This window comes from Homo sapiens, chromosome 22, assembly GCF_000001405.40.
Source record: "Homo sapiens chromosome 22, GRCh38.p14 Primary Assembly".
NCBI lineage: Eukaryota > Metazoa > Chordata > Mammalia > Primates > Hominidae > Homo > Homo sapiens.
The window spans coordinates 24,833,661-24,846,396 of record NC_000022.11 but is presented as its reverse complement, the minus strand read 5'-3'; the positions used below and the strand labels follow the sequence as shown (position 1 = coordinate 24,846,396).

The following is a 12,736-nucleotide window of genomic DNA, read 5'->3' as shown; positions in this document are numbered from 1 at the left end:
TACATATATGTATGTAATTATGTGCATGTGTGTATGTGTGTAGAGCTATATGTTTAAATAAACACATCCCACTTAAAAAAAAATAAGATCTTCATTTTGGGAAGCCAAGGAGAGAGGAATGCTTGAACCTAGGAATTCAAGACCAGCCCTGACAACATGGCAAGACTCCATCTTTACAGAAAAATTTAAAATTAGCCAGGTATGGTGGCACATACTTGTGGTCCCAGCTACTCGGGAAGCTAAGGTGGGAGGTACGCTTGAGCCCAGGAGGTTGAGGCTGCAGTGAGCTGTGATTGTGCCACTGCACTCCAGCCTGGGTGACAGAGTGAGATCCTGTCTCAAAAAAAAAAAAAAAGAAAGAAAGAGAGAAAGAGAGAAAGAAATGAAGAAAGAAAGAAAGAAAGAAAGAAAGAAAGAAAGAAAGAAAGAAAGAAAGAAAGAAAGAAAGAAAGAAAAGAAAAGAAAAGAAAGATCTTGCCCAAAGTCAATTACAAGAAAGCAGCAGAGGTGGATCCAGGTCTGCCTGCCTGAAGAGAGGGTGAACTGAGGTCCTTGCCTCCCAAGAAAGCGGCAGAGGTGGATCCAGGTCTGCCTGGCTGAAGAGAGGGTGAACTGAGGTCCTTGCCTCCCGGGTCACAGCGTGTGCTCAGCATGTTGTGGGCCCCGTGGGGTGGTGCCCCCAGCCATTTGGACGGCAGCTGATGGGCTGGCCAGCTCTCCCAGCTCAGGCCTCTCCACAGGACCAAGATCACGGGAGGGGAATTAGAACATGTCCTGCATTATGAGACACTCCAATTATTAAATTAAGACATTTTCAGGGAGACAGAAAGACTCCCACTTCTATGTACACACTGATTATCCTGACCTCAGAGACACTCAGACCCCATCTCTAGCCATTCTCAAAGTACAGCAAAAGCCTGGCCATGGGGTTATTTCCAGAAGCTTGTGAGCAGAGCTGGTTCAAGGAGACATGTCTGAGTCACGCTCTGAGCCCTCGGCCTGCCTTCTTTGCTGAGCCAGATGGACGCGATCCTTCAGGATGTGTCACGGGCTCTTAGTTCCCTTTTTTAAAAGTCCCCATCTACCCTCTCCCTTTACCTAGCAATAGCCACAGGCAGAGTGAGGGACAGGGAGCCCATTCCTCAGATGCAAGACTGTGTGTCACTTGGGGTGTGGTCGGTGTGAATGGTGCCTACAGGAAGACAACCCCTCTGGTGTTAACCACACTGACCTCTTCATGGGGTACAGAAGTCATTTTTAATTGTTTCTCTACACTGTTCTGTATTTTCAAATTCTCCAATCGAGTCCCCCTCTGGAATCCAAAACTAACTTCAGAGTCATAAAGCAAAACAGTGGCTCCAAGACACCACTTCCCCGAGGCAGCCCACAGAGAAAGAAGCCACTTTCCCAGGTCACAGACTCACCACAGAAGGAGATGATGTGGCTGCTGTCTTCGTGGACAAACTTGCGTGTCACAGCCTCCTCCATGATCTGCTTCACCTGGAAGGCAAAGGTGACCGGAGGGGAAGAGGTCCAAGGTGACCAAGGTGACCTGGGTATAGGTGCCCCAAAAGGGCTGCATTGCTCCCCACAAGGCCTTTCAGGCTGTTTGGGATGTTTTGACACCTGCTTTCCTTCCCCCTCCTCGCCTTGTCTTTTGGAGGTCTGAGGCCTGTCACAGCTCCATGCTTCTCATTTTATCAATTATTCGTTCAGGTTCTTCACACAGCAGGCTGCTGCTTCTCTTAGGCATCTCACAAAACGTCATCTCCTTTCCTGACCACACTGTCTAAGGCAGACCCCTCCCCACTCCCATCCCCTGTTTTAGTTCCTGTAGGGCACTCACCACTATTCTCATTCTTTTTTTTTTTAGACGGAGTTTCGCTCTTGTTGCCCCGGCTGGAGTGCAATGGCACAATCTTGGCTCATCGCAACCTCCGCCTCCCGGGTTCAAGCCATTCTCCTGCCTCTGCCTTCCGAGTAGCTGGGATTACAAGTGCCCACCACCACGTCTAGCTAACTTTTCTATTTTTAGTACAGACGGGGTTTCACTATGTTGTCTTGAACTCCTGACCTCAAGTGATCTGCCCGCCTCGGCCTCCAAAAGTGCTTGGATTACATGCGTGAGCCGCCGCGCCCAGTCTACCACTATTCCCATTCTATTTGTTGATTTGTTGACCGTCTATCTCTCTCTTCTAGAATTTAAGTTCCACAAGGGCAGAAACTTCATTTGCCTCATTCACTGCTGAATTTGCACAGCCTAGAACAGTGCCTGGCACAGGGCAGATGCTCAATCAACATTTTCTAAATGACTGGATGAATGAATGAATCAGTGTATGAATGAATAAGATATATAAAGGAATCAAGAAAGTGCAGGGTAAAAAAACCTGCCCTGGAATCAGGTAGACCTGAGTTCAAATCCCTGCTTGGAGACCTCCCAAGTGGGTTTCTGATCTTATTTTGGGAAATGGATGCTCAGCAAGATGAAAGCACTTACCCAGGGAGGCAGAGCTGGCTATCAGAGACAGGTTCCAGCTCGAGACAGACACCCAGGCTGTGTGCTCTTCCCTGCGCACTCCCTTGCTCAAGAATTCTCACCTGAGTGCCTCTAATGTGCCAGGCACAGGGACACAGTGCAAAAGGGCAGCTGTGCCTCTCTGCTCTTGGTGTTGATCCTCTGGCAGCCTGAATACCTTCTGCTCCACTAGATTCTGGGCCTGATTCTGCCCAGAGTCATTGTAGGATTTAAGCAAAGTCCGTCTCCTCTCTGGACCTCAGTTACCCCACTTTGAGGTTGAGGAGGTTGGAAAACAATCCAAAAGGCCTGTTCCAGCTCTATGTCACCCTGAGGATTCTGATGTTTGGGGTAAATAAAGCAAAGTTCTGAGTTACCCCCACCCAGTGGAACCCACAGCGTTTCCCACTGTCCTGTGGCCCATCCAGACTCCACCAGGCCAGCACATCCATGCATCCATCTGAGAGCTGTCCCAGGCCCTCCCTGCCTGCTCTCCCTGCCTTCTGGTTACCTCCTGGAGATGAACACAGTTTGGTGCATCCCTGTCCACCTTCTCTGCAGAAACACATGGCAGTGTCCCCCTAGAGCTGGCTCACCACCCCCACCCCACACAACCAAGTCAGCACCAGCGCTGTGAACAGCTCCTGATTTCAGTGCTCCACCAACTCCAAGCTGGGCATTGCCTGCAGCATTTCTAACCCTGAAAACTATCTAGGGAGGCCCATGAGAAGTTGGCTTCATTTTGCAGATGTGGAAATGGAGTCTCGTGGAGGCAAACCGGACCACTCAAGGTCACAGGGTAGGAAGGAGCAGAGTAGAAATTGAAACTTATCACTTTCTTTTTTTTTTCTCCCATCATGGCTCCTGCTGCTGTACCTTGGCTCCTCCCACTATTAGCTGTGTTTCCTCAGGCAAATCATGTCACTTCTCTGAACCTTAGTTTTCTCCTTGGCTAAAAAGTTTATAGAAATAGCACCAGCTTCAAGGCACTTGGGAAGGCTGAACAAGATAATGATCATCATGTGCTGAGCACAGAACCTGGCACGCAATAAATGTCTGCAAAATGTGCTGCAAATAAATGTCGGCTGCATGCAGGTCATCAGCTCTGCCTGAAACCTTCCCTGGCCTCCCATCACCGTTATTTTGGCCCTGGCTGGAATGTCGCTGGTTCAGGACATCAAATTCCCCTGCTTGGGTTCCTAGAGAAGCTGCTCTTGAAACACCCATCAGACGTGTAACATTTGGTCAGTACTTGTTTTCCCTGCCAGGCTCTGATCCCCATGAGGGCAACCATTCTGTGTTTCCTTGCTTTATGGCTATGGTGCCAACAACTACCTTGAGTTCCAGCACATGGTATGTGCTCAATAAAGTTCTCTTTGGAAAATGAATGGCTCAAAGAATCATGATTGACCTCAGGCTTTGGTAGAGTATTTTATTTGAAAAAAAATATATATTTTCTTATAACCATAATTGTGGATAATAGAGCAGTAACATTATTATCCCTATTTGTCAGGGGAGGAAACAGAGGCCCAGAGAGGTGGAGTAATCTGTCTGGGGTCACACAGCTATGAGGACTGGATTTGGTGTTTGGACCCAGGTTTGTCTGACTCCAGGGGCTGAGCTCCTTCTGCAACATGTCATGAAGCCCAGGTGGTCTCAGAGCGTTTGCACACCTCTCTCCCCTCTGCAGGAATCTACCTCTTTCTTTCCTTTGCTCCTCTAAGGCAGGACACGGTGATGCTGAGAAACTGCTGGAAGGCAGTTGCCAAGCACCCAGACCCTGATGACATTTGGGAATGTAGCAACAGAGGGAGTGAGTCCAGGCTTAGTCGTAGATGGTAGAGGACTGTCAGGGAGACATTGGGGGTGGGGGAGTCCAGGCAGCTGGGTCAGGAGCACTTTCATGAATGTACATGGTTAATTAAGAACTGAGAATTTGGGGACAGACAGACCTGGGTTCAAATCCTGGATGAGACACTTATCACAACTTGGGCAAATTCCTTTACCCCCTTAGGACAACAGTACTTGGGAGGCAGAGGTTGCAGTAAGCCGAGATCGTGCCACTGCACTCCAGCCTGGCGATAGAGCGAGATTCCATCTCAAAAACAAAAAACAAACAAAAAACAGCACCAACTTCTAAAGATTCAGTCAAATATGTTGGTTGTACCTTCAAAATGTTCTCAGATTCCAACCGTTTCTCAGCCCCTCCACCACCACCTCCCAGTCCAAGTCACCATCACCTCTCCCCTGAATCAATGCTGTAGACTCTTACTGGTCTCCCTGCATCCACTTCTAAGAAGCTCATTTTAATACAGCCAGAAGGATCTCGTTAAAAGGTAAGTCAATAGAACAACCAGACAGAATATCAATAAGGAAACAGAGGCCTTGAGCTACACTATAAACCAACAACTGGACTTAACAGATATGTACAGAACACTCCACCTAATGATGGCAGGATGCCCACTTTTCTCAAGTGCACATGGAACATTCTCCAGGAGAGAGAATATCTTAGGATACAAAACTAGTCATCATACATTTTTTTTAAAAATGAGATCATACAAAGCATCTTTGTCATTCACAATGGAATGAAACAAGAAATCAACAGCAGAAGGAAAACTAGAAAACCCACAAATAAGAGTCATAAACAGTGTACTCTTAAATAATAAATGTGTCAAAGAAGAAATCTCAAGGGAAATTAGAAAATATATTGAGATAAATAAAAACAAAAACACAGCAGGGCACGGTGGCTCACGCCTGTAATCCCAGCACTTTGGGAGGCCAAGGCGGGCGGATCACAAGGTCAGGAGATCGAGACCATCTTGGCTAACACGGTGAAACCCCGTCTCTACTAAAAATACAAAAAATTAGCCGGGCGTGGTGGTGGGCGCCTGTAGTCCCAGCTACTCGAGAGGCTGAGGCAAGAGAATGGTGTGAACCCGGGTGGCGGAGCTTGCAGTGAGCCGAGATAGCGCCACTGCAGTCCGGCCTGGGTGAAAGAGCGAGACTCCGTCTTAAAAAACAAAACAAAACAAAACAAAAACACAACATGGCCAATAAAAACAAAAACACAATATGGGCTGCTATAAAAGCAGTGCTAAGAAGGAACTTACAGCTGGAAATGCTTACATTAAAATAAGAAAGATCTCAAAGAAACAAGTTACCTGCACACCTTAAGGAACAAGAAAAAGAAGAACAAACTAAATCCACAGCTAGCAGAAAGAAGGAAATAATAAAGATTAGGCTGGGCATGGTGGCTCACACCTGTAATCCCAGCACTTTGGGAGGCTGAGGCGGGCGGATTACCTGAGGTCAGGAGTTCAAGACCAGCCTGGCCAACATGGTGAAACCCTGTCTCTACTAAAATACAAAAATTAGCCGGACATGATGGTGGATGCCTGTAATCCCAGCTATTTGGGAGACTGAGGTGGGAGAATTGCTTGAACCCGGGAGGTGGAGGCTGCAGTGAGCCGAGAACGCACTATTGCACTTCAGCTTGGGTGACAGAGTGAGACTGCCTCTCAAAATAAATACATAAAAATTAAAAATTCAAAAATTAAAAAATAAAGATTAGAGCAGCCATAAATGAAAGATAATTTAAAAACAGAGAAAACTAACAAAATCAAGACATGTTTTGCCCAGGCCGGGCGTGGTGGCTCACACCTGTAATCCCAGCAATCTGGAAGGCTGATGCAGGCAGATCACGAGGTCAGGAGATCGAGACCATCCTGGCTAACACAGTGAAACCCCGTCTCTACTAAAAAAATACAAAAAATTAGCTGGGCATAGTGGCGGGCACCTGTAGTCCCAGCTACTCGGGAGGCTGAGGCAGGAGAATGACGTGAACCTGGGAGGCGGAGCTTGCAGTGAGCTGAGATCGCGCCACTGCACTCCAGCACTCCAGCCTGGGTGACAGAGCAAGATATCATCTCAAAAAAAAAAAAAAAAAAAAGAGAGATGGTTTGTCCAAAAGATCGACAAAACTGACAAACCATTAGCAAGATTGACTAAGAAAAAAAAGAATTCTCAAAATTAAAATCAGAAATGAAAATGAGGACATTACAACTGATGCCACAGAAAAAACCATTATAAGAGAATACTATAAACAAATAAATGTATGCCAACAAATTGGATAACCTAGATAAGATGAATAAATTCTTAGAAACACACAATATACAAACTAAATCATGAAGAAATAGAAAATTTTAACAGATGTATCATAGCAGGGAGATGCTATCAGTAAGTTAAAACCCTCCAATAATGAGAAGCCCAGGACCACATGGCTTCACTGCTGAATTCTACCAAACATGAAAATAATTAAACTAATTCTTCTCAAATTCTTCCAAAAATATTAAAGAGGCAGGAGCACTTCCAAACTCATTTTATAAGGTCAGGGCTACCTTGAAACCAAAGCCAGTCACAAAAAAACTACAGACCAATATCTATGATAAATATGCATGCAAGAATCCTCAACAAAATGCTAAAAACAGAATTCAACAGCATATTAAAAGAACATGGTCGGTCACTGTCCAGTTGCTCATGCCTATAATCCCAGCACTTTGGGAGGCTGAGGCAAAAGGATCACTTGGGCCTAGGAGTTTGAAACCAGTCTGGGCAACACAGTGAAACCCAACTTCTACAAAAAAATACAAAAATACAAAAACTAGCCAGGCATGGTGGCATGTGCCTGCAATCCAGCTACTTGAGAGGCTGAGGTGGGAGGATAGCTTGAGCCCAGGAGGTTGAGGCTGCAGTGAGCCATGATCACACTACTGCACTCCAGCTTGGACAAATGAGCAAGACTCTATCTCAAAATAAAAACAAGACAAATAAATGGAAAGGCATCCTCTGTTTATGGTTTCCAAGACTTCATACTCCTAAAATGTTGATATTACCAAAGTAATCGACAGATTTAATGAAATTTCTATCAAAATCCCAATGGTGCTTTTTTTTTTGCAGAAACATAAATATCTATCCTAAAATTAATATCAAGGAACATCTCATGGAACCCTGACTATCAAACAGTCTTGAAAAATATTCTTGAAAAATCTTCAACAAGAAGAATGAAGTTCGAGGTCTCATACTTCCTGATTTAAAAACTTATAACAAAACTACAGAAATCAAAACAATGTGGTACTGTCATTAAAAAAAAACACACATTTAGACAAATGGAATAGAGAGCCCAGAACTAAAACCTCACATATATAATCAAATGATTTTTGTCAAGGGTGTCATGCCCATTCAAAGAAGAAAGTGAAACTGACCCAACTACCCCATAAACTGTCCTTTTTGATAAACATAGAAATTGACCCTTGTGGTCTTAAAAAGCTTGAAACTTGTATTTATCTGAGTTCCTTCCTCAGAGAAGGTCCTTCAGGCCTGTCAAAAAAAGTATCAAAGAACTGAAACTCACCAGATCACAGATGGAAGGGAACCCACTCATTCACCATGTTTGCTTCCTTGTGCTCCCTAGTTCTTGTTTTCTTACACATTGTTGCATTTCTTCCTGGCTATATAAACACCTAGTTTTAGTCAGTCAGGGAGATGGATTTGAGACTGAGCTCCCTTCTCTTCAGCTGCAGCACCCAATTAAACCCTTCTTCCTTGGCAATACTTGTCATCTCAGTGATCGGCTTTCTGTGCAGTGATCAGCAGGACCTAGACCAAATCCCTGGTGTTTTGGTAACAAAAGGATAGTCTTTAAAACAAATGGTGTTGGGAAAACTGGATAGCTACATACAAAAGAATAAAATTGGACCCTTACCTTATACCACATACAGAAATTAAAGTAAAATGGACCAAAGACTTCAACACAAGCTAAAACTATAAAAATCATACAAGAAAACGGAGAAAGCTTCATGACATTGTGTGGGTGGCAAGCCACCCAGGCACCGAGGCAAGAGACAGAGGACACGAGCTGTTCCAGTATAATAAAATATAAAACAAGAATAGTTATACCAGATATAGATCTTAGATATGATTATATATGAATATCATTAATCATTAGTTTGTAGCAGTTACTTTTTATTCCAATATTATGATAATCCTCACTCTATAATCATAGCCTAGGAAAAACCAGGCCATACAGAGATAGGAGCTGAGGGGACATAGTGAGGTGTGACCATTAGACAAGAGTGCAAGCCTTCAGTTATGCCCGGACAGGGCCACCAGAGGGCTCCTTGGTCTAGCAGTGATGCCAGCATCTGGGAAGACGCCCGTTACCAGGCGGATCGTGGTCCAGCGGTAGCAAAAGGTGTCAAGGAACAACACCCGCTACTTAGCAGACTGGGAAAGGGGGGGGGGGGGTCTCCCTTTCCCCGGGGGAGTTTAGAGAAGACTCTGCTCCTCCACCTCTTGTGGAGGGCCTGACATCAGTCAGGCTCGCCCGCAGTTATCTGGAGGCCTAACCGTCTCCCTGTGATGCTGTGCTTCAGTGGTCACACTCCTAGTCTGCCTTCATGTTTCATCCTGTACACCTGGCTCTGCCTTCTAGATAGCAGTAGTAAATTAGTGAAAATACTAATAGTCCCTGATATGCAGAAATAATGGCATAAGCTGTCTTTCTCTCTGTCTCCTCTCTCTCTCTGCCTCAGCTGCCAGGCAGGGAAGGGCCCCCTGTCCAGTGGACATGTGACCCACGTGACCTTACCTATCATTGGAGGTGACTCACATTCTTTACCCTGCCCCTTCTGCCTTGTATCCAATAAATAACAGTGCAGCCAGACATTTGGGGCCACTACCGGTCTCCGTGCATTGGTGGTAGTGGTCCCCCGGGCCCAGCTGCCTTTTCTCTTGTCTCTTTGTCTTGTGTCTTTATTTCTACACTCTCTTGTTGCCGCACACAGGGAGAGACCCACCGACCCTGTGGGGCTGGTCCCTACAACATTGGATTTGACAATGATTTCTTGGATATGACACCAAATGCATGAGCAACAAAATTAAAAATAGGTAAACTGGACAGCAAAGTTAAAACTTTTTGTGGATCAAAGAACAAAATAAACAGTGAAAACGGCAACCCGTGAAATAGAAGAAAATATCTGCAAATCATCTATGTGATAAAGGGTTAATGTCCAGAATATATGGAGAACTGCAACTCAACAACAAACAACTGAATTCAAAAATGGACAAAGGACTTGAATAGGCATTTCTCTGAAGAAGATGTGCAAATGACGAACAAGCACATGGAAAGATGTTCAATGGGAAATGCAAATCAAAACCACAATGAGATACCACTCACACCTATTAGGATGGCTGCTATGAAAAAACAGAAAGTAAGTGTTGGTGGGGATGTGGAGAAACTGGAACCCTTGTGCAATGATCAGAAGGTGAAATGGTGCAGCTGCTATGGTAGACAGTATGGTGGTTCTTCAAAAGATTAACCATACAATTAGCATATCATCCAGTCATTCCACTTCTGGGCATACACCCAAAAGAACTGAAGGCAGAGTCTCAAAGTCATATTTGTATACCCATGTTCACAGCACTATTATTCACAGTAGCCAAAAGGTGGAAACAACCCAAGTGTCCTTCGATGGCTGAATGGATAGACAAAATGTGGTCTACACACACAATGGAATACTATCCAGCCTTAAAAAGGAAGGAAATTCTGACACATGCCAAAATACGAATGAACCTTGAGGACGCTGTGCTAAGTGAAATAATCTAGACGCAAAATAACAAATGCTGCATGATTCCACTTATAAGAGGTACTTAGAGTAGTCAAATTTAAAGAGAAAGAAAGGAGAATGGTGGTTGCCAGGGGCTGGGGAGAGGAGAAATGGGGAGGCATTATTTAATGGGTATAGAGTTTATCTTTCGAAAAGAGATCTGGAGGTTGGCACACAAGAATGTAAATGTACTCAAGACTGAATTGTACACTTAAAAATGGTTAAGAAGGCACATTTTATATTATGTATATTTTACCATTTTAAAATGTGCATATGGTATATGTTCACATAGTATAAATAAATGAATATTTTTCAGTTAAAGAAAAGTTCTATCAAACCACGTCCCTCCTCTGCCCAGAACTCTTCCATGGCTCCCGTCTCACCCAGAGTGACAACCCAAGTCCTCACCACCTCACACAAGGAGGCCCCTCTGCTGACCTCCCAAGCCCCTCTCCCCCATCCCAACACCTGCTCTACACACACAGGCCTCCTTGCTGCTTGCCCAGCTCCGTGGGCAGAGCCCATCTCATGTCCTCTGCAATTCCTGTTCCCTTTGCCTGGAATGCTCTTTTCCCAGCAATCTCAACTCTTTCTTCAAATGTCACCTTCCCTGACGATCCTATTTAAAATTGCAACTCCCCAACCTGCACCCCACTTGGTACCCAACATACCCCTTTTTCTGCCTTTTTTCTCTCCATAGTCCTTCACATGTCCACCACGCTACATGATTTTGCTTATTTACCTTATTCCCTAACTCTCTGACGTAATGGCCTCTACGCTCTATGAGGTCAGGAATTCATCCTGCCATCTGGTGGTGCTCTACTCCCAAGACCCAGCAGAGGGCCTGGCACAGAGCATGCACTCAATATCTATCTGTTGAATGAATGGGGAGGTTTAGATGAGGCGACGCAGGTAAAGCATTTAGCATAGGGCTTGGTACACGGTGTGTGCTCAACAATCAGTAGCATTTGAATAATGATGACAGAGACACCCCCGCTGCCCTGGAACAAGTTACATCTGGTCTGTGCATCCCACCTCCCTGCATCAGGCATGTTTATGCAGGTAAAAATCAAGTTAAGAAGAAACAGCAAAATTAACTTTGCAGGGGGAAACATCACCACCAAGGGCAGTATGGAGCAGGTATGAAAAGAGTTTTGCCTAGGAGGAAAGGAGGGGGAGGAGGCAATAGGCAGGTTGAACGCAGAGAATAACGTATGTCTTGAGTGAGTCGCAGTTTGCAAAGCTCTCTCCAGCCTACCTTGCCTCACAACATCACGCGAATACAATCCCCGCTGGCAGAGGAGGCAATTGAGACTCAGAGGGCAGGGGACATTCCTCTAAATCAGCATAACCAGGAAGATCCAGGGCCAGGCCTGACATCTAAGACTTCAGACTCCAAAACAGAGGACCAGCCTGGGCAACAAGAATGAAACTCCGTCACAATAAAAAAAAAAAAAAAGGAAATTTAGACGTATATACAAAGTGAAGATCATGTGAAGATCAGGGAGAAGATGGCCACCTATAAGCCAAGGAGGGAGACTTGGATCAGATCCTTCCCTCACAGAGTTCAGAAGGAAGTGGTCCTGTAGACACCTTGATCTTTGATTCCTATCTCCAGAGCTGTGAGAAAATCAGTTTATGTCGTTCAAGCTGCCCATTCCATGTACCCGGCAAACTTTTTCTGTAAAGGTCTACAGAGTAAATAATGTCTGCTTTGTGGGTAATATGATCTCCATGTCAACTATTAAACTCTGCCCTTGTAGCATGAAAGCAGCCATAGATAATACATAAATGAATGGGCATGGCTGTGTCCCAATAAAACTTTATTCACAAAAACCAGTGGAAGGCTGGATTTGGCCCGAGGGCCAACCCTGCACAAGAATGTTTGGCTCCAGCAGGCTGGTCTACTTCGCAGCTCCAGCCAAGGAAACTGCTCCTGTATCCTGAGTCATGGCCCAGACGGCCTACTTAGGTGGTCTGCAGTCGGGGACAGCTCTCAGGGTCAGTGCTGACGTGACTGACAACTCCCATACACAGTGGCTGGCCCTCTCTTAAGGTTGTAGCCATCCTGCCAACATCCTGTTCCTTGGAGGCAACCATCTGCTGTCACCTCCAGAGAGGCTCTGATGCAGGAGCGCGGCCACCTGCCTGTGTCCTCCCTCATAGTGAGCAGAGGCTACTGGGCCCCATCTGTTCTCTCCACAAAAGGAAGCCATGAGCTTGCTCAGGACATGTGGCAAACCCCTAGCTTTCTCCAGAGCACATGGTGAGAGGGTGGGAAGAGGAGCTGCCAACCTTGGAAAGTTCTAGCTCTGTCACCAACTAGCAGACGCCCTCAAGTGAGCACCACCCTTCAGGGTGTCCCCACTTATTCCTCTGGCCTCAAAGATGTGCCTACCTCCCACTGTCTAGCATGCCTTCATTCTCCATTCCTTTCCTTTGTCGTGCCTCTTCCACCCTCGGGAATCTCATCATGCAAAATGTCACCTCCCCCATCGCTATGGGCTTAACTGTGTTCCCTTCACCTCCATTTCATATGTGGAAATCTTTTTTTTTT

The 12,736-nt window shown here is 45.5% G+C and overlaps 1 protein-coding gene across 4 annotated transcripts in view; it reads right to left on the bottom strand.

Moving 5' to 3' along the window:
* The window catches only part of SGSM1 (small G protein signaling modulator 1), a 121,368-nt gene that overhangs the window by 81,182 nt on the left and 27,450 nt on the right, over positions 1–12,736 (bottom strand). For all 4 annotated transcript variants that reach the window (NM_001039948.4, NM_133454.4, NM_001098497.3 and 1 more), the window contains exon 3: positions 1,425–1,500. In NM_001039948.4, the coding sequence (NP_001035037.1) occupies positions 1,425–1,500 (76 nt within the window). The remainder of the gene's footprint in view (positions 1–1,424; positions 1,501–12,736) is intronic.